At 39.9% G+C, this 21,952-nt stretch overlaps 1 long non-coding RNA gene across 3 annotated transcripts in view, besides 2 other annotated features; it reads right to left on the bottom strand.

Moving 5' to 3' along the window:
• Nucleotides 1–21,371, bottom strand: part of TSBP1-AS1 (TSBP1 and BTNL2 antisense RNA 1) — a 152,558-nt gene extending 131,187 nt beyond the window's left edge. For 2 of the 3 annotated variants that reach the window (NR_136245.1, NR_136246.1), the window contains exon 1: nucleotides 21,130–21,371. This is a non-coding gene — a long non-coding RNA (TSBP1 and BTNL2 antisense RNA 1). Of the gene's footprint in view, nucleotides 1–13,734; nucleotides 13,933–21,129 lie in introns of all 3 variants that reach the window. The other variant, NR_136244.1, reaches the window with a different exon arrangement.
• Nucleotides 20,218–20,874: an enhancer, noted in NCBI's record as "H3K27ac-H3K4me1 hESC enhancer chr6:32223447-32224103 (GRCh37/hg19 assembly coordinates)". NCBI's record gives its function as "activates a minimal SCP1, AML or CMV promoter by ChIP-STARR-seq in primed H9 embryonic stem cells {active_cell/tissue: H9 hESC(primed)}" and the evidence as "EXISTENCE:reporter gene assay evidence [ECO:0000049][PMID:30033119]".
• Nucleotides 20,875–21,532: an enhancer, noted in NCBI's record as "H3K27ac-H3K4me1 hESC enhancer chr6:32222789-32223446 (GRCh37/hg19 assembly coordinates)". NCBI's record gives its function as "activates a minimal SCP1, AML or CMV promoter by ChIP-STARR-seq in primed H9 embryonic stem cells {active_cell/tissue: H9 hESC(primed)}" and the evidence as "EXISTENCE:reporter gene assay evidence [ECO:0000049][PMID:30033119]".

Here is a 21,952-nt window from a genome sequence, read left to right as displayed (position 1 = left end):
ACATTATCTATGAGTTAGCCCTGCTCTGCAAGGAGCAATAAAGTTCAATAAAAGATTGCTGTCTAAAACCACTGGCTTGCCCTTGAATTCATTCCTGGGCAAAGTCAAGAACTTTCCTGGGCTAAGCTCTAATTTTGGGGCATGTCTGTCCTGCATCAAATGGATAAAGAAAATGTGATATATATATATATATATATATATATATATATATATATATATATATATATATGTATGTATGTAGTGGAATACTATTCAGCTTTTAAAAAACAAGGAAATTCTGTCATTTGTGACAACATGGATGAACCTGGAGGACATTATGTTAAGTGAAATGTAAGGCACAGAAAGATAAATACCACATGATCTCACTTATATGTGGAATCTTAAAAAGTTGAACGAAGAAGCAGAGAGTAGAATGGTGGTTACCAGGTACTGGGAGCAGGGAAATGGGGGACAGAAAATGGGGGAATTGGGGAGTTGTTTGTCAAAGGATACAAAATTTAGTTTCATAGAATAAATAAGGAAGTCAGAATATCTATTTTATAACATGGAGACTATAGTTAAAACAACATTATTGTATTCTTGAAAAATCACTGAGTAGATTTTAAGTGTTCTCATCATAAAAAAAGGATAAGTATATGAGCTGATATATGTTAATTAGCATGATTTAGCATTCTGTGATGTATACGTATTTCAAGACATCATGTTATACATGATAATTGTATACAATTTTTATTTGTCAGTTTAAATATATAAATTTTAAAATAAAGTACTCACATCAGGGATATATTTGTATTTTCTAAGTAACAACAATAACAATTTAAAATGCATAATACAAAACTAACAAAGGCTGATCATAGAATAATTTATAAAAATCATTCCAAAAGGAGGCCAAGAGGCCAGATGCAGTGGCTCATGCCTATAATCCTGGCACTTTGGGAGGCAGAGGCGAGTGGATTCCTTGAGCCCAAGAGTTCAAGGCCAGCCCAAGCAACATAGCAAAACCCCATCTCTACAAAAAATACAAAAATTAGCTGAGCATGTTGGTGTGCACCTGTAGCCCCAGCTACTCGGGAGGCTGAGGTGGCAGGATGACTTGAGCCTGGGAGGTGGAGGTTGCAAGAGAGACCACACCACTGCACACCAGCCTGGGTAACAGAGCCAGATGCGGTCTCAATAAACAAATAGGAGGCCAAAAACATAAGAAAACATATAATACAAAACAGGTGAAAAAATAGAAAACGAGCAATAAAATAATCTTAGACCCATATATATCAATCAATAATTCCATTAATTATAAATGGACTAAATGGCCACATTTTATTTGTTTTTACTTAAGTTTTTATTTATTTATTTATTATTTCCATAGGTTTTAGGGGGACAGGTGGTATTTGGTTACACTAGTAAGTTCTTTAGCGGTGATTTGTGAGACTTTGATGCACCCATCACCCAAGCAGTATACAGTGAACCCAATTTGTAGTCTTTTATCCCTCACTCCCTTCCCACCCTTTCCCACTGAGTCCCCAATATCATTCTTATGGCTTTGCATCCTCATAGTTTAGTTCCCACTTATGAGTGAGAACATATGATGTTTGGTTTTCCATTCCTGAGTTACTTCACTTAGAATAGTGTCCAATCCCATCCAGATTGCTGCAAATGCCATTAATTCATTCCTTTTTATGGCTGAGTAGTATTCCACCATATATATATGCCATAGTTTCCTTGTCTATTCGTTGACTGATGGGTATTTGGGTTGGTTCCACATTTTTGCAGTTGTAACTTGTGCTGCTATAAACATGCATGTGCAAGTATCTTTTTTGTATAATGACTTATTTTGCTCTGGGTAGATACCCACTAGTGGCATTGCTCGATTGAATGGTAGTTCTACTTCTAGTTCTTTAAGGAATCTCCAAACTGTTTTCTATAGTGGTTGTACTAGTTTACATTCCCACCAGCAGTGTAGAAGTGTTCCCTGTTCACCGCATCTATGCCAACCTCTATTATTTTCTGATTTTTTTTTCAAAAAGAACATAAAACTTTATTAAGAACATCTTATACTGTCATCAGATACAGCCAAAGAAAAACGGGTAAACAAACAGGGAAAGTTCATCTTCCCATGTGCTATTGCCACCTCAGAACAGACTCCTGTGTAGATAGCTGGAACAACAGTTGGCAACAAATGCTCTGTATAAATAATTCATTAAGTACACAATGTTTCCTTTCTATACAGAGAAGAATTGGGCTTACAACTATGAAACAAGACTACATCTTTAGGAGCTATTTCTTAATAGAATACAAAGCAGTTTAGTAGCTGTATGTTATTTCAGATAATGTAATTTTTTAATGAAAAATTCAGAAAGGACATTCTAACTTTCCCAATTAGTTAATTTGTACTGTTGAGTTTTTTCTCTCTAAAGATTTCTCAGAATCAGTTCAGTAACTATACTTTAAAAAGATGAGTTGCTCATCTACAGTGATAATTGACAACTTAGTTTTGTGACTTTGCAAATCAAGATGCCTGGGTCATCCCCACTTTTGCTGATTCTGAAAGATTTCTTTAGAAAAACCCTGATTCAGAGAAGCAGGAGTAAGGTGGTATCACACTGTGGTTTTGATTTGCATTTCCCTGATCCTTAGTGATGCTGAGCATTTCTTCATATGTTTGTTGGCCATTTGTATATCTTCTTTTGAGAATTGTCTGTTCATGTCCTTAGCTCAATTTTTGATGAGATTGTTTCTTTCTTTCTTGCTAATTTGCTTGAGTTTGTTGTAGATTCTGGATATTAGTCCTTTGTCAGATGTATAGATTGTGAAGATTTTCTCCCACTCTGTGGGTTGTCTGTTTACTCTGCTGACTATTCCCTTTGCCATGCAAAAGCTCTTAAATTAAGTCCCAGCTATTTATCTTTGTTTTTATTGCATTTGCTTTTGGTTCTTGGTCATGAAATCCTTGCCTAAGCCAATGTCTACAAGGGTTTTTCCAATGTTACCTTCTAGAATTTTTATAGTTTCAGGTCTTAGATTTAAGTCCTTAGTCCTTCTTGAGTTGATTTTTGTATAAGGTGAGAGATGAGGATCCAGTTTCATTCTCCTACATGTGGCTTGCCAATTATCCTAGCACCATTTGTTGAATAGGGTGTCCTTTACCCACTTTATGTTTTTGTTTTCTTTGTCAAAGATCAGCTGGCTGTAAGTATTTGGGTTTATTTCTGGGTTCTCTATTCTGTTCCATTGGTCTTTGTCCCTATTTTTATACCAGTACTATCCTGTTTTGGTGACTATGGCCTTACAGTATAGTTTGAAATCAGGTAATGTGATGCCTCCAGATTTGTTCTTTTCCCTTAGCCTTGCTTTGGCTATTTGGGCTCTTCTTTGGTTCCATATGAATTTTAGGATTTTTTTTTCTAGTTCTGTGAAGAATGATGCTGGTATTTATATGGGAATTGCATTGAATTTGTAGATTGCTTTTGGCAGTATGGTCATTTTCACAATATTGATTCTACCCATCCACGAGCATGGGGTGTGTTTCCATTTGTTTGTGTCATCTATGATTGTTTTCAGCAGTGTTTTGTAGTTTTCCTTGTAGAGGTCTTTCACCTCCTTGGTTAGGTATATTCCTAAGTTTTTTTGATTGTGTGATTTGTTTGTTTGTTTGTTGCAGCTATTGTAAAAAGTGGTTGAGTTCTTGATTTGATTCTCAGCTTGGTCACTGTTGGTGTACAGGAGAGCTACTGATTTGTGTACATTAATTTTGTATCCAGGAAATTTGCTGAATTATTTTATCAGTTCTAGGAGCTTCTTGGAGGAGTCTTCTGGGTTTTCCAGGTATACAATCATATCATCAGCAAACAGTGACAGTTTGACTTCCTCTTTACCAACTTGGATGCCTTTATTCTTTCTCTTGTCTGATTGCTCTGGCTAGGACTTCCAGTACTATGTTGAAGTGGTGAAAGTGGGCATCCTTGTCTTGTTCCAATTCTCAGAGGGAATGCTTTCAACTTTTCCCCATTCAGTATTATGTTGGCTGTGCGTTTATCATACATGGTTTTTATTACATTGAGGTATGTCCCTTGTAGGCTGATTTTGCTGAGAGTTTTAATCATAAAAGGATGCTGCATTTTGTCAAATGCTTTTTCTGTGTCTATTGAGATGATCATGTGATTTTTGTTTTTAATTGTTTATGTGGTGTATTACATTTATTGACGTGCATATGTTAGACCATCCCTGCATCCCTGCTATGAAACCCACTTGATCATGGTGGATTATCTTTTTGATATGTTGTTGGATTTGGTTAGCTGGTATCTTGTTAAGGATTTTTGCATCTATGTTCATCAGGGATATTGGTCTTCAGTTTTCTTTTTTGTTGTTGTTATGTTCTTTTGTTCTTTCCTGGCTTTGGTATTAGGATGATACTGGCTTCATAAAATGATTTAGGGAGGATTCCTTCTTTCTCTATCTTGTGGAATAGTGTCAATAGGATTGGTACCAATTCTTCTTTGAATGTCTGGTAGAACTCAGTTGTGAATCCGTCTGGCCCTGGACTTTTTTTTTTGTAATTTTTTTATTACCATTTCAATCTTGCTGCTTGTTATTGGTCTGTTCAGGGTATCTAATTCTTCCTGATTTAAGGTAGGAGGGTTTTCTCTTCCCAGGAATGTATCGATCTCCTCCAGGTTTTCTAGTTTATGCACATAAAGGTGTTCATAGTAGCCTCAAATGATCTTTTGTATTTCTGTGGTGTCAGTTGTACTATCTCCCATTTCATTTCTACTTGAGCTTCTTTGGATTTTCTCTCTTCTTGGTTAATCTTGCCAATGGTCTATCAAGTTTATTTATCTTTTCAAAGAACCAGCTTTTTGTTTCACTTCTGTATTTTTTTGTTTCAATTTCATTTAGCTCTGCTCTGATCTGGGTTATTTCCTTTCTTCTGCTGGCTTTGGGCTTGGTTCTTGTTTCTCTAGTTCCTTGAGGTGTGACCTTAGGTTGTCTATTTGTGCTCTTTCAGACTTCCTGATGTAGGCATATAGGGCTAAGAACTTTCCTCTTAGCACCGCCTTTGCTGTATCCCAGAGGTTTTTGTAGGTCATGTCACTATTGTTATTCAGCTTGAATAATTTTTTAATTTTCATCTTGATTTCATTGTTGACCCAATGATCATTCAGGAGCAGGTTATTTAATTTCCATGTATTTGCGTGGTTTTAAAGGTTCCTTTTGGAGCTGATTTCCAGTTTTATTTCACTGTGGTCTGAGACAGTGCTTAACATAATTTCAGTTTTCTTAAATTTATTGAGACTTGTTTTGTGCTCTATCATGTGGTCTATCCTGGAGAAAGTTCCATGTGCTGAAGAATTGAACGTATATTCTGCAGTTGTTGGGTAAAATGTTCTGTATATATCTGTTAAGTCTATTTGTTCCAGGGCATAGTTTAAATTCATTGTTTTTTTGTTGGCTTTCTGTCTTAATGATCTGTCTAGTGCTGTCAGTGGCGTATTAAAGTCCCCCACTAGTATTGTGTTGCTGTATATATCATTTCTTAGGTCTAGTAGTAATTGTTTTATAAATTTGGGAGCGCCAGTGTTAGGTGCATATATATTTAGGATTGTGATATTTTCCTGTTGGACAAGAAATGCCACATTTTAAAAATAAAAATTATCAAACTGGATTAAATGGCAATATAAATGTCAGTTGATAGGATAGTTAATACTATACTCAACAATGTAATGAAGAGTAAGAAAGGGCTGGGCTTTGTGGCTCATGCCTGTAGTCCCAGCACTTTGGGAGGCCCAAGGGAAGAGGGGCTGGCTCTCACTCCCCGCATCGCGGGGGGCGCCTGAGATAAGGTGGATCACCTGAGATAAGGAGTTCAGACCAGTCTGGCCAATATGGTAAAACCCCGTCTCAACTAAAAATACAAAAAAATTAGCTGGGTGTGGTGGCGGGCACCTGTAATCCCAGCTACTTCGGGAGGCTGAGGCAGAAGAATCGCTTGAACTCAGGAGACAGAGGTTGCAGTGAGTCGAAGTCACGCCATTGCACTCCAGCCCGGGCGACAAGAGCGAAACTCTGTCTCAAAAAAAAAAAGTAAGAAAGAACTCAAACTTATACGTAGTGATCATGACAATAAGGAATTTTGTCTGTGTGAGCTCTGAAAATTTTATAAAGTTTTTAAATATGGAGTTCATGCTTAGTGATTGAGTTATTTAATGTCAAATGATATCTAAGCATTTATTTTTAACATTTCATTAATCAAGTACACAATATGTATTTAAGGAATTATGATAAAGTAAACCAATCTTCTACCCATATCACTATACCTATTTGATTCATCAAAATTTGTCCTCCCTAAATTCCATGTTCTGCAATGTGTTTAGAAATAAATAGTAAGGCATGGCGCCACACACCTGTAATTCCAGCTACTCAGGAGGCAGGGCAGGAGGATCACTTGAGCCTGGGAGTTTGAAGCCAGCCTAGGCAATATAGTAAGACCCTGTCTCAAAAATTAATTAATTAATTAATTAATTAATAATAACAAGTGGTAGCCTTGCTCTTGGTCAAAACATTGACTTTGGGCTGGGCGCGGTGGCTCACGCCTGTAATCCCAGCACTTTGGGAGGCCGAGATGGGCGATCACAAGGTCAAGAGATTGAGATCATCCTGGCTAACACGGTGAAACCTTGTCTCTACTAAACATACAAAAAAATTAGCCGGGCGTGGTGGCAGGGGTCTTTGGTCCCAGCTACTCAGGAGGCTGAGGCAGGAGAATGGCGTGAACCCGGGAGGTTGAGCTTGCAGTGAGCTGAGATCGCACCACTGCATTCCAGCCTGGATGACAGAGCGAGACTCTGTCTCAAAAAAAAAAAATTTTTGGCAGGGCACAGTGTCTCACGCCTGTGATCCCAGCACTTTGGGAGGCCAAGGTGGGCAGATCACAAGATCAGGAGTTCGAGACCAGCCTGGCCAACATGGTGAAACCCCATCTCTACTAAAATACAAAAATTAGACGGGTGTGGTGGTGCACGCCTGTAATCCCAGCTACTTGGGAGGCTGAGGCAGAAGAATTGTTTGAACCCAGGAGGCAGAGGTTGCAGTGAGCCAAGATCACGCCATTGCACTCCAGCCTGGGCAAGAGAGCAAGACTCCATCTTAGGGGAAAAAAAAAAAAAAAAGATTGACTTTGGTTTATTATTTGATCGAGTTTTTTCCATTAGTACATTACTTATCTATTTATCAGTTACTGGATACAAAAGTTTCTGGAACTGAGTTCCTCACAATTGTTCCTCATAATTGTTTGGATGTAGTCCATTCCAAATAATAACTATCTATTTAAGTCTATTAAGTCTATTTTTTTAAAAAAAGAAAACACCCCTGAATAGCAAAATGACTAACGAAAAATAATAAAATTATCTGAGATTAGTCGTAGATTTTTATCAGCTAAAAACAGAAGGAACTTCCAAACCAACAAAGAGTAGATTAAACAAAGGCAAAAATAAAATGAGAGAATAGAAAATGAGATGAAAAAAGAAGAAAAATTATAGCAGCCAAGTTTAATGAGGTGCTTTGCCAATCACTGAAATGTGTCTGTCCAGCCTAAGAAAAGTTGAAAAGAAAAAAATGGGCCGGGTGGGGTGGCTCACGCCTGGAATCCCAGCACTTTGGGAGGCCAAGGCAGGCGGATCACGAGGTCAGGAGATCGAGACCATCCTGACTAACACAGTGAAACCCCATCTCTACTAAAAATACAAAAAAAAAAAAAAAAATTAGCCAGGCATGGTGGCAAGCACCTGTAGTCCCAGCTACATGACAGGCTGAGGCAGGAGAATGGCGTGAGCCTGGGAGGTGGAGCTTGCAGTGAGTCGAGACCACACCACTGCACTCCAGCCTGGGTGACAGAGCAAGACTCTGTCTCAAAAAAAAAAAAGAAAAAAAGAAATCAGATGCATATCAGTGAACTTTACACCTTTCAGATCTATTCAATGGTGGACTGAATGACTGTGGAAAGAAACATCTTCTTTATCATATGAAGTACCCTGTGGTCCAGTGGCAATTCTGATGAAACCACACTGCTTTGTAACTTATGGACATCTTCATACACTAAATAAGAAAAATTACATTAAAACTAACCACCATCCAATCACTTTTGACTAGGTGTTAAAAGGACTCACATTCTACCTTTTATCCATCCGACAAGCTCCTACTTATTTGCGATTCAGGTCAAATGTCATCTCATTTGTAAAGTCTTCCTAAACACCTACTAAGGGAGACTGCCCTCCACACAGTTCCCAAACCACTTTTATATACCTCAATTATTCTCTGTTTATACGTTTACCCGCTTTACTAGATTCTGTGCACCTGGAGGTGAGAAACCAGATGTTTTTCGTCTTTGTTTCTCCAGAGTTAAGCTTAGCTGGTTCATGAAAATCATTCAAAAATTACTGAAAGAATCTCAGTCTTAAGAGGAAAAAAGTAAACAACTATCATATACAGTAACAAACAGCTTAGGAACAAAATATTACAGGAGGAATGATAATTTCACCCTAATAGAGTGCTGGGATACTTCACAAAAAGATGATATTTGATCTGCTTTGAAGAAGTCATAAGTTAGATGAAGCAAATAAAAGTGGATTTTAAAAGGTGAAATCAAGTCTATTCCAAGGAGTGAATATGAGCCAATGCCCAGAGGTAGGACAGCATGAAGGGTCTAACGAGAGTGAGTGGACAGGCCTTGCTGGACTATAAGTGAAAAGTAGTATCAGAAATGATATCAGAAAAGTAGATTGGGGCCCAATTGAGAAGTCCCTTGAATGCCATAGTAAATAAAGCTTTAATTATTTATCTTACAGACAATGTGGAGCCCTTGGTTTTAAAGAAGAGCATCAAAATTAAATTTCTTCTTTCAAAATTTTATTCTCCCCAGATTAACGAATATTATTCAAGTTATAGCTTCAGTTTCACCAAAGGTCATGTCTCAATCCTTCTCCTCTACAGGAAAGCAATTCTAAAAAAAAAAAAAAAAAAAAGGGAAAAGAAAAACCTCAGATAAAACTGGTTTTGGTAGGACTACTCTCAGGCAGGACAGCATAAGATACAAGAATCAAATGACTGGCAATAGAAGACTTATTAAGATTAAAACTGTACTGGTCATCAGATAAGTGACTAGATCTGATTTGTTCAAATTAGAGTTTGTAATTTATTTTGAATACAAAGCAAGGCATGGTCATTTAAAAACATACAATACTAAAAAATGTAAAAAAAAAAAAGAGGGAAGTGAAAATTACTATAACCATCCTCATCCCTTAAAATGACTCTGCTATTAACATTTAAGTTAAATCATTAACTTTCTTCAATGCCTGAGTATACATACAGATAGATACTTCATTTTTCCAAGTAGATTTCAAACTTACATACCTGCATCTTTTCACTCAATATACCATGAAAATTTTTCCATAATAATATGTATCTATATAATATTTAATCAGTGCATAATTTATTTAAACACTCCCCTGTAGGTGGACTTTATCTTTTCATTTAAACCAACACTACAGTAAATGTATGTCTCTTTACACATTTATCTAAATTTTTCCTGAAGTTAAATTTCCAAAAAAGTAATTTCTGAATCAAAAGGTATCTGGTGCAGCAGCTGTAGAGACAGGGTGCAGAACCCCTGCCCTGCAATCACAAGGCAGTTTCTTCTCTATCCCAACTAAAGTATGTGGGGCTGGTAAGATTACAGAAAAAAGAGAAAGGAATATTCTGAATCTGTGTATGAAATTCTTGTGAGCAGTACATGTAAGAAACTAATCAGAGGCTGGGCGTGGTGGCACACACCTGTAGTCCCAGCTACTTCGGAGGCTGAGGCATGAGAATCACTTGAATCCAGAAGGTGGAGGTTGCAGTGAGCCGATATAGCGCCACTGCACTCCAACCTGGGTGACACACTTTTGCACTCAGTCTCAAAATAAATAAATAAATAAATAGGCCGGGCGTGGTGGCTCATGCCTGTAATCCCAGCACTTTGGGAGGCCAAGGCAGGTGGATCACGAGGTCAGGAGATCAAGACCATCCTGGCTAACATGGTGAAACCCCATCTCTACTAAAAATACAAAAATTAGCCAGGTGTGGTGGTGCGCACCTGTAGTCCCAGCTACTCGGGAGGCTGAGGAAGCAAAATCACTTGAATCCAGGAGGCAGAGGTTGCAGTGAGCCAAGATCGTGCCACTGCACTCCAGTCTGGGCAACAGAGCAAGACTCTGTCTCAAAAATAAATAAATAATTTTAAAAAAATTTTAAAAACTGATCAGAAATGACATCCACAAAACCTGAGAACTTAACAGTGATGTGAAACATCACCAGGCTTCAGATTGACCTCTAAGTAGCACACAAGTAGGACAAGCCAGAATAGCACCATAAAGACTTTGAACACTAAATTAACATTTGCATCATGGCCCATAAACATGGGTCAAGACATGTGTTCTGAACCTAAACAAGTTGACTGCCTACTAAAACAGAAACGTTAAATAGAAACCAGGCCTCAATGCACCATATTCAAAATGTCCAACATATAAACAAAAAATCACCTGTCATTATCAAGAACCACAAAAATCTAAATAAGAAAATTCAAACAGTGTCAACACCAAGATGACACAGGTATTGCAATTATCTCACAAGTATTTTGCAGCAGCTATCATAAAAAATGTTCCAACAAGCAATTATGAATAACTTCGAAATTATTTTTAATGGAACATCTTAGCAACAAATATAAAATATAAGAAAGAAGCATTTAAGTCTTTAATCCATCTTGAATTAATCTTTGTATAAGGTGTAAGGAAGGGATCCATTTTCAGCTTTCTACATATGGCTAGCCAGTTTTCCCAGCACCATTTACTAAATAGGGAATCCTTTCCCCATTTCTTGTTTTTGTCAGGTTTGTCAAAGATCAGATAGTTGTAGATATGTGGCATTATTTCTGAGGGTCTATATCTCTGTTTTGGTACCAGTACCATGCTGTTTTGGTTACTGTAGCCTTGTAGTATAGTTTGAAGTCAGGTAGCGTGATGCCTCCAGCTTTGTTCTTTTGGCTTAGGACTGACTTGGCAATGTGGGCTCTTTTTTGGTTCCATATGAACTTTAAAGTAGTTTTTTCCAATTCTGTGAAGAAAGTCATTGGTAGCTTGATGGGGATGGCATTGAATCTATAAATTACCTTGGGCAGTATGGCCATTTTCACGATATTGATTCTTCCTACCCATGAGCATGGAATGTTCTTCCATTTGTTTGTATCCTCTTAAATGTTAGACCTAAAACCATAAAAACCCTAGAAGAAAACCTAGGCAACACCATTCAGGACATAGGCATGGGCAAGGACTTCATGTCTAAAACACCAAAAGCAATGGCAACAAATGCCAAAATTGACAAATGGGATCTAATTAAACTAAAGAGCTTCTGCACAGCAAAAGAAACTACCATCAGAGTGAACAGGCAACCTACAGAATGGGAGAAAATTTTTGCATCTACTCATCTGACAAAGGGCTAATATCCAGAATCTACAATGAACTCAAACAAATTTACAAGAAAAAAACAAACAACCCCATCAACAAGTGGGCGAAGGATATGAACAGACACTTCTCAAAAGAAGACATTTACACAGCCAAAAGACACATGAAAAAATGCTCATGATCACTGGCCATCGGAGAAATGCAAATCAAAACCACAATGAGATTCCATCTCACACTAGTTAGAATGGCAATCATTAAAAAGTCAGGAAACAACAGGTGCTGGAGAGGATGTGGAGAAATAGGAACACTTTTACACTGTTGGTGGGACTGTAAACTAGCTCAACCATTGTGGAAGTCAGTGTGGCGATTCCTCAGGGATCTAGAACTAGAAATACCATTTGACCCAGCCATCCCATTACTGGGTATATACCCAAAGGATTATAAAACGTGCTGCTATAAAGACACATGCACACATATGTTTATTGTGGCACTATTCACAATAGCAAAGACTTGGAACCAACCCAAATGTCCAACAATGATAGACTGGATTAAGAAAATGTGGCACATATACACCATGGAATACTATGCAGCCATAAAAAATGATGAGTTCATGTCCTTTGTAGGGACATGGATGAAGCTGGAAACCATCATTCTCAGCAAACTATCGCAAGGACAAAAAACCAAACACCACATGTTCTCACTCATAGATGGGAATTGAACAATGAGAACACATGGACACAGGAAAGGGAACATCACACACCAGGGCCTGTTGTGGGGTTGGCGGAGGGGGGAGGGATAGCATTAGGAGATATACCTAATGTTAAATGACGAGTTAATGGGTGCAGCACACCAACATGGCACATGTATAGACATGTAACTAACCTGCACATTGTGCATATATATCCTAGAACTTAAAGTATAATTAAAAAAAAAAAAGAATGCTGACATAGCTCTCAAACAAGGTAGACTTAAAGACAAGAAGCATTGATAGAGCTATAGATGAACACTACCCATGGCACATGTTTACCTATGTAACAAACCTGCACATCCTGTATATGTACCCCGGAACTTAAAATAAAAAGATGAACATTTCTAAAAAAAAAAAGAAAGAAAGAAGCAAATGGAAATTTTATAGCTGGAAAATAAAATAACCAAAATGAAAACTCACTGGATGGATTCAATAACAGAATGAATATGACAAAAGAAACAATCAGTGAACTCAAAGATAGAGCAATTGAAATTTTCCAGCCTGAACTGAGAGGAAAATACACTGAAAGAAAAAATTAAAAATGAACAGGCAAGATTCAAGATGGCCGAATAGGAACAGCACCAGTCTGCAGCTCCCAGCGAGATCGAGGCAGAAGGTGGGTGATTTCTGCATTTCCAACTGAGGCACACGGTTCATCTCACTGGGACTGGTTGGACAGTGGGTGCAGCCCACGGAGGGCAAGCCGAAGCAGGGTGGGGCATCACCTCACCTGGGAAGTGCAAGGGGTCGGGGAATTTTCCCCTCTACCCAAGGGAAGCCATGAGGGTCTGAGCCTGAGGAACTCCAGCACAGATACTGCACTTGTCCCACAGTCTTCGAAACCCACAAACCAGGAGATTCCCTCCAGTGACTACCCCACCAGGGCCCTGGGTTTCAAGCACAAAACTGGGTGGCCAATTGGGCAGACACTGAACTAGCTGTAGGAGCTTTTTTTCTTTTTTCCATACCCCAGTGGCGCCTGGAACACCAGCGAGACAGAACCGTTCACTCCCCTGGAAAGAGGGGCTGAAGCCAGGGAGCCAAGTGGTCTGGCTTGGCTGGTCCCACGCCCATGGAGCCCAGGAAACTAAGATCCACTGGCTTGAAATTCTTGCTGCCAGCACAGCAGCAATCTGAGATTCACCTGGGATGATTGAGCTTGGTGGTGGAAGAGACGTCCACCATTGCTGAGGCTTGAGTAGATGGTTTTATGGCCACAGTATAAACAAAGCTGCTGGGAAGTTCAAACTGGGCAGAGCTCACTGCAGCTCAGCAAGGCTGCTGTGGCCAGACTGCCAGATTGCTCCTCTCTGGACAGGGCATCTCTGTAAAAAAGGCAGCAACCCCAGTCGGGGGCTTATAGCAGACTTAAACGTCCCTGCCTGATGGCTCTGAAGAGAGCAGTGGACCTCCCAGCACGGTATTGAAGCTCTGCTAAGGGTCAGTCTGCCTCCTCAAGTGGGTCCCTGATCCCCATGTATACTGACTGGGAGATACCTTCTAGCTTGGACCGACAGACACCTGATACAGGAGAGCTCTGGCTGGCATCTGACAGGTGCCCCACTGGGTCGAAGCTTCTAGAAGAAAGAACAGGCAGCAATCTTTGCTGCTTTGCAGCCTCTGCTGGTGATACCCAGGCAAACAGGGTCAGGAGTGGACCTCCAGCAAACTCCAGCAGACTGGCACCAAAGGGGCCTGTTAGAAGGAAAAGAAACAGAAAGGATTAGCATGTCCACTCAAAGACCCCATCCGAAGGTCACCAACATCAAAGACCAAAGGTAGATAAATCCACAAAGATGGGAAAAAAGTAGCATGAAAAGGTTGAAAATTCCAAAAACCAGAATGCCTCTCCTCCTCCAAATGATCACAACTCTTCGCCAGCAAGGGAACAAAACTGGACAGAGAATGAGTTTGATGAACTGACAGAAGTAGGCTTCAGAAGGTGGGTAATAACAAAAAACTACAAGCTCAAGAAGCATGTTCTAAGCCAATGCAAAGAAGCTAAAAACCTTAAAAAAAGGTTAATCGAATTAACTAGAATAACCAATGTAGAGAAGAACATAAATGACCTAATGGAGCTGAAAAACAAAGCACAAAAACTTCATGAAGAATACACAAGTATCAATAGCCAAACTGATGAAGCAGTGATTGAAGATCAACTTAATGATCAACTTAATGAAATAAAGAGAGAAGACAAGATTAGATAAAAAAGAATAAAAAGGAACGAACAAAGCCTCCAAGAAATATGGGACTTGCCGGGGCGCGGTGGGTCACACCTGTAATCCCAGCACTTTGGGAGGCTGAGGTGGGTGGATCACGAGGTCAGGAGATCGAGACCATCCTGGCTAACATGGTGAAACCCCGTCTCTACTAAAAATACAAAAAATTAGCTGGGCGTGGGGGTGGGCGCCTGTAGTCCCAGCTATTTGGGAGGCTGAGGCAGGAGAATGGCGTGAACCCAGAAGGTGGAGCTTGCAGTGAGCCGAGATCACACCACTGCACTCCAACCTCAGTGACAGAGCGAGACTCCATCTCAAAAAAAAAAAAAGAAACATGGGACTATGTGAAAAGACCAAATCTACGTTTGATTGGTGTACCTCAAAGTGACGGGGAGAATGGAATCAAGTTGGAAAACACTCTTCAGGATATTATCCAGGAGAACTTCTCCAACTTAGCAACACAGGCCAACATTCAAATTCAGGAAATACAGAGAACACCACAAAGATAATCCTCAAGACGAGCAACCCCAAGACACATAATCATCGGATTCACCAAGGTTGAAATGAAAGAGAAAATGTTAAGGGCAGCCAGAGAGAAAGGTCGGGTTACCCACAAAGGGAAGCTCATCAGACTATCAGCCGAACTCTCTGCAGAAACCCTATAAGACAGAAGAGAGTGGGGGCCAATATCCAACGTTCTGAAAGAAAAGAATTTTCAACCCAGAATTTCATATCCAGCCACACTAAGCTTCATAAGGGAAGGAGAAATAAAATCCTTTACAGACAAGCAAATGCTGAGGGATTTTGTCACCACCAGACCTGCCTTACGAGAGCTCCAGAGGGAAGCACTAAACATGGAAAGGAACAACTGGTACCAGCCACTGCAAAAACATACCAAATTGTAAAGAACATTGACACAATGAAGAAACTGCATTAACTAATGGGCAAAACAACCAGCTAGCATCATAATGACAGGATCAAATTCACACATAACAATATTAACCTTAATGTAAATGGGCTAAATGCCCCAATTAAAAGACACAGACTGGCAAATTGGATAAAGAGTCAAGACCCATCAGTATGCTGTATTCAGAAGACCCATCTCATGTGCAAAGACAAACATAGGCTCAAAATAAAGGGATGGGGGAATATTTACCAAGCAAATGGAAAGCAAAAAAAAGCAGGAGTTGCAATCCTAATCTCTGATAAAACAGACTTTAAATCAATAAAAATCAAAAGAGACAAAGAAGGGCATTACATAATGGTAAAGGGAACAATGCAGCAAGAAGAGCTAACTATCCTAAATATATATGCACCCAATACAGGAGCACCCAGATTCATAAAGCAAGTTCTTAGAGACCCAGACTCCCAAACAATAATAGTGGGAGACTTTAACACCCCACTGTCAATATTAGACAGATCAATGAGACAGAAAATAAAGATATTCAGGACTTGAACTCAGCTCTGGACCAAGCAGACCTAACAGACATCTACAGAACTCCCCACCTCAAATCAACAGACTATACATTCTTCTCAGCACCTCATTGCACTTATTCTAAAATTGACCACATAATCAGAAGTAAAACACTCCTCAGCAAATGCGAAATAATGGAAACCATAACAAACAGTCTCTCAGACCACAGTGCAACCAAATTAGAATTCAGGATTAAGAAACTCACTCAAAACTGCACAAATAAATGGAAACTGAACAACCTGTTCCTGAATGACTACTGGGTAAATAATGAAATGAAGGCAGAACTAAAAATGTTCTTTGAAACCAATGAAAATGAAGACACAATGTACCAGAATCTCTGGGACACATTTAAAGCGGTGTTTAGAGGGAAATTTATAGCACTAAATGCCCACAAGAGAAATCAGGAAAGTTCTAAAATTGATGCCCTAACATCGAAATTAAAAGAACTAGAGAAGCAACAGCAAATAAATTCAAAAGCTAGCAGAAGACATGAAATAACTAAGATCAGAGCAGAACTGAAGGAGATAGAGACACAAAAAACCCTTCAAAAATATCAATGAATCCAGGAGCTGATTTTTTGAAAAAATCAACAAAATAGACCACTAGCCAGACTAATAAAGAAGAAAAGAGAGAAGAATCAAATAGATGCAATAAAAAATGATATAGGGGATATCACCACTGATCCCATACAAATACAAACTACCATCAGAGAATACTATAAACACCTCTATGCAAATAAACTAGAAAATCTAGAAGAAATGGATAAATTCCTGGACACATACACCCTCCCAAGTCTAAGCCAGGAAGAAGTCGAATCCCTGAATAAAGCAATAACAATTTCTGAAATTGAGGCAGTAATTAATAGCCTACTACCCCAAAAAAAACCCCAGGAGCAGATGGATTCACAGGCGAATTCTACCAGAGGTACAAAGAGGAACTGGTACCATACCTTCTGAAACTATTCCAAACAATAGAAAAATAGGGACTCCTCCCTAACTCATTTTATGAGGCCAGCATCATCCTGATACCAAAACCTGGCAGAGACACAACAAAAAAGGAAAATTTCAGGCCAATATCCCTGATGAACATCAATGTGAAAATCCTCAATAAAATACTGGCAAACCGAATGCAGCAGCACATAAAAAAGCTTATCTACCACGATCAAGTTGGCTTCATCCCTGGGATGCGAGGCTGGTTCAACATACGCAAATCAATAAATGTAATCCATCACATAAACAGAACCAATAACAAAAACCACATGATTATCTCAATAGATACGGAAAAGGCCTTTGATAAAATTCAACACCCCTTCATGCCAAAAACTCTCAATAAACTAGGTATCGACGGAACATATCTCAAAATAACAAGAGCTATTTATGACAAACCCACAGCCAATATCATACTGAATGGGCAAAAACTGGAAGCATTCCCTTTGAAAACCGGCACAAGACAAAGATGCCCTCTCTCACCACTCCTATTCAACATAGTATTGGAAGTTCTGGCCAGGGCAATCAGGCAAGAGAAAGCAATAAAGAGTATTCAAATAGGAAGAGAGGAAATCAAATTTTCTCTGTTTGCAGAAGACATGATTGTATATTTAGAAAACCCCATCGTCTCAGCCCAAAACCTCCTTAAGCTGATAAGCAACTTCAGCAAAGTCTCAGGATACAAAATCAATGTGCAAAAATCACAAGCATTCCTGTACACCAATAATAGACAGAGAGCCAAATCATGAGTGAACTCCCATTCACAATTGCTACTAAGAGAATAAAATACCTAGGAATACAACTTACAAGGGATGTGAAGGACCTCTTCAAGTAGAACTACAAACCACTGCTCAAGGAAATAAGAGAGGACACAAACAAATGGAAAAACATTCCATGTTCATGGATAGGAAGAATCAATATCATGAAAATGGCTACACAGCCCAAAGTAATTTATAAATTCAATGCTATTCCCATGAAGCTACCACTGACTTTCTTCACAGAATTGGAAAAAAACTACTTTAAACTTCATATGGAACCAAAAAAGAGCCTGCGTAGCCAAGACAATCCTGGGCAAGAAGAACAAAGCTAGAGGTATCATGCTACCTGATTTCAAACTATACTACAAGACTACAGTACCCAAAACAGCATAGTACTGGTACCAAAACAGATATATAGACCAATGGAACAGAACGGAGGCGTCAGAAATAACACCACACAGCTACAACCATCTGATCTTTGACAAACCTGACACACACAAGCAATGGGGAAAAGATTCCCAATTTAGTAAATGGTGTTGGGAAAACTGGCTAGCCATATGCAGAAAACTGAAACTGGGCCCCTTCCTTACACCTTTTACAAAAATCAACTCAAAATGGATCAAAAACTTCAACATAAGACTTAGGACCATAAAACTCCTAGAAGAAAATCTGGGCAATACCATTCAGGACAGAGGCATGGGCAAAGACTTCATGTCCAAAACACTAAAAGCAATGGCAACAAAAGCCAAAATTGACAAACGGGATCTAATTAAACTAAAGAGCTTCTGCACAGCAAAAGAAAGTATCATCAGAGTGAACAGGCAACCTACAGAATGGGAGAAAATTTTTGCAGTCTATCCATGTGACAAAGGGCTAATATCCAGAATCTACAAAGAACTTAAATTTACAAGAAAAAACCCATCAAAAAGTGGGCAAAGGATATGAACAGACACTTCTCAAAAGAAGACATTTATGCAGCCAACAGACATATGAAAAAAATGCTCATCATCACTGGTCACCAGAGAAATGCAAATCAAAACCACAATGAGATTCCATCTCACACCAGTTAGAATGGCGATCATTAAAAAGTCAGGAAACAACAGGTGCTGGAGAGGTTGTGGAAAAATAGGAATGCTTTTACACTGTTGGTGGGAGTGTAAATTAGTTCAACCACTGTGGAAGACAGTGTGGCGATTCCTCAAGGATCTAGAACTGGAAATACCATTTGACCCAGCAATCCCAATACTGGGCATATACCCAAATGATTATAAATCATTCTATAGTAAAGACACATGCACACATGTTTATTGTGGCACTATTCACAGTAGCAAAGACTTGGAACCAACCCAAATGTCCATCAATGATAGACTGGATTTAGAAAATGTGGCACGTATATATCATGGAATACTATGCAGCCATAAAAAAGGATGAGTTTGTGTCCTTTGCAGGAACATGGATAAAGCTGGAAACCATCATTTTCAGCAAACTATCACAAGATCAGAAAACCAAACACCGCATGTTCTTGCTTATAAGTGGGAGTTGAACAATGAGAACATACGGACACAGGGAGGGGAACATCACACACCGGGGCCTGTCAGAGAGTGGGGAGTTAGGGGAGGGATAACATTAGGAGAAATACCTAATATAGGTGACAGGTTGATGGGTGCAACAAACCACCAGGGCACATGTATACCTATGTAAGAAAAATGTACATTCTGCACATGTAACCCAGAACTTAAAGTATAATAAAAAAAAAAAAGAAAGAAAGAAAAGAAAAAACGAACAGAGCAACAAGTATCTGTGGGACAATAACAAAGTCTCTAACATTCCTGTGACTGGAATTACAGAAGGAGACGGCATAGGGTGCTAAAAAAAAAAAAAATTGAGACAGGCTCTCACTCTGTTACACAGGCTGGAGTGCGGTGGCATGATCACAGCTCACTGCAGCCTCAAACTCCCAGGCTTAGGTGATCCTCCTGCCTTAGCCTCCCGAGTAGCTGGGACCACTGACACATGCCACCATGACCAGCTAATTTTTTTTATTTTTTTTGTAGAGACAGTGTTTTGTCATGTTGCCCAGGCTGGTCTGAAAAAACTTTTTAACAAAATAATGATTGAAGACTTCTCAAACTTAATGAAAGACATAAATGTGTAATTCAAAAAGCTAAAGCAACTTCTAATATAATAAACTCAAAGAAATCTATGCTCAGATACATCATAATCAAATTTCTGAAAACTTAAAAAAATCTTGAAAACATGCTGAAAGAAAAAGCATTATTTATAGGAGAACAACAATTAGAATTACAGTGGATTTCTCACCAAAAAACCCAAAACAGGAAGAAAGTAGCACAACATTTTTCAACTGCTAAAAAATAAGACCTATCAGCCCAGAAGCTTATATCCAGAGATAATACTCCGAGGAAACTTCAAACACATTTTTAGCAATGTTACAGAATAGTAATCAATTGTATTCCTCTATGCTAGCAATAAAAAGTAGGAAGCCAAAACTGAAGCACAGTACTATTTACAACCACTCCAAAGAAAATTAAATATTTAAGTATAAATCTAACAAAATATGTACAGAATCAGCAGGCTGAAAACTACAAAATGCTGATGAAAAAATAAAAATAGATCTAAACAAACGGAGAGACATGCAGTGTCATTTAACTGGAAGACAACAAAGATGTCAATTCTCTTCAAATCGGTCTATAGGTTTAACACATTTCCTATCAAAAGCTTCCTTTTGTAGATATAGACAAACTGGTCCTAAAATCTATATGTAAAGTCAAAAGAACAAAAATTGCTAAAACAATATTTAAAAAGAATAGTAAAGTAGGAAGAATCACACTATCCAATGTTAACATTTACTACTGTAGATTGCCAGGCCAAGATGGCTGATTAGAAACAGCTATGGTCCACAGCACTCACAGAGAGGAACAAAAGAGGCAAGTGAATACAGCATCTTCAACTGAAATATCCAGGTACTTGCATTGGGACTCATCAGGAAAACAACTCGACCCACAGAGAACAAAGAAAAGCTGGATGGGGCGACAGCCCCCCTGGGAGCGACACAGAGCCAAAGGAACCCCCACTCCCAGCCAAGGGAAGAAGTGAGTGATGGTGCGACCTCAGGAAACCATGCTTCTCCCATGGATCTTTGCGACTGGTGGATCAGGAGATTCCCTCATGAGCCCATGCCACCAAGGCCTTGGGTCCGACACACACACAGCTGTGTGGAGTCTTGGCAGAGCAGCTGCTCAGACACACACAGAGACCCACGAGCTTTACATACTCTGGCCCAGGGCGGAGCGCAGGAAGGGCCCCAAAACAGATCATATCACAACTGTTGTTCTGGGAGAAAGTAAAAGTCAAAAAAGCATTGCATTTAATTCAGGTTTCAGCCAAACTGCGAGATACCACGTTATTTAAGAGGCAGGCGGAGGAAGGAAACCTACCGCTTTGGAAGAGGCGGAGGAAATCGCTTTCTTCCCTGTGACTCAGCCCTGGAGGAATTTCCCTTTTGAAATCTTGCGGTGTTGAGTAGGACCGCCAGGCCGGCAAGCAGGAGGCGGCCTCCTCGTAACCGCCAGGCGGCGACACCTAGGGCGGCGCGGCCAGGAGGCGGGACCCCTTCTCCCCTCGCTGTTCCCCCTCGCGCCCCTTCTCCTCTCACATTTCCCCCTCACAAGCCTTCTCCCCTCCTGGTTCCCCCTCAAGCGCCTTCTCTCCTCAAATCTCCCTCAGCTTCCTTCTCTCCCTCCCATTTCTCTCCCCATTCTTTTACCTCTCCTAGTCCCGCCTTCCCCAGCACGATGGCACCTCTCTCGCCCTAAATCTTCTCCCCACTCCTCTCAACCCACTGACCGCCCTCGCCTCCCCACCCCCATCCCCTCTTCCCGCACGCACTGTCTACCTTTCTGCCCCTCCGCACTCCCGGACTTCTCAAGCACATACACCCAGCCTCATCTCACCCAACCCGGCCTATTCACTCCCTGAACCACCCCACCCCATCATCCTCTTCCTCCCCCATCTTCCTCCTCCCCAGTAGCTCTTCCCCCTCTTCCTCCTCACTTCCCCACCCCGTCACACCCCCCTCCCTCTCCCTGCCCTCGGTCTCTTCACTCCATCTCCTCCCTTTCACTGTGCTGTTTCGCGGTAGGAAGAGAAGAGTGGTGATACCTGAGGAATAAAAGGTATAACTCCCTCCCCAAACACTGCTAAAATGACTCTGAAAATAAATAATCAGGCAGACAAGGGGAACAGGGAACAGCAACAGAC

The sequence above is a fragment of the Homo sapiens genome, chromosome 6 (assembly GCF_000001405.40).
Source record: "Homo sapiens chromosome 6, GRCh38.p14 Primary Assembly".
NCBI classification, from domain to species: Eukaryota; Metazoa; Chordata; class Mammalia; order Primates; family Hominidae; genus Homo; species Homo sapiens.
Note: the sequence above shows the minus strand (reverse complement) of the source record. Positions and strands in the feature narration are given on the sequence as shown.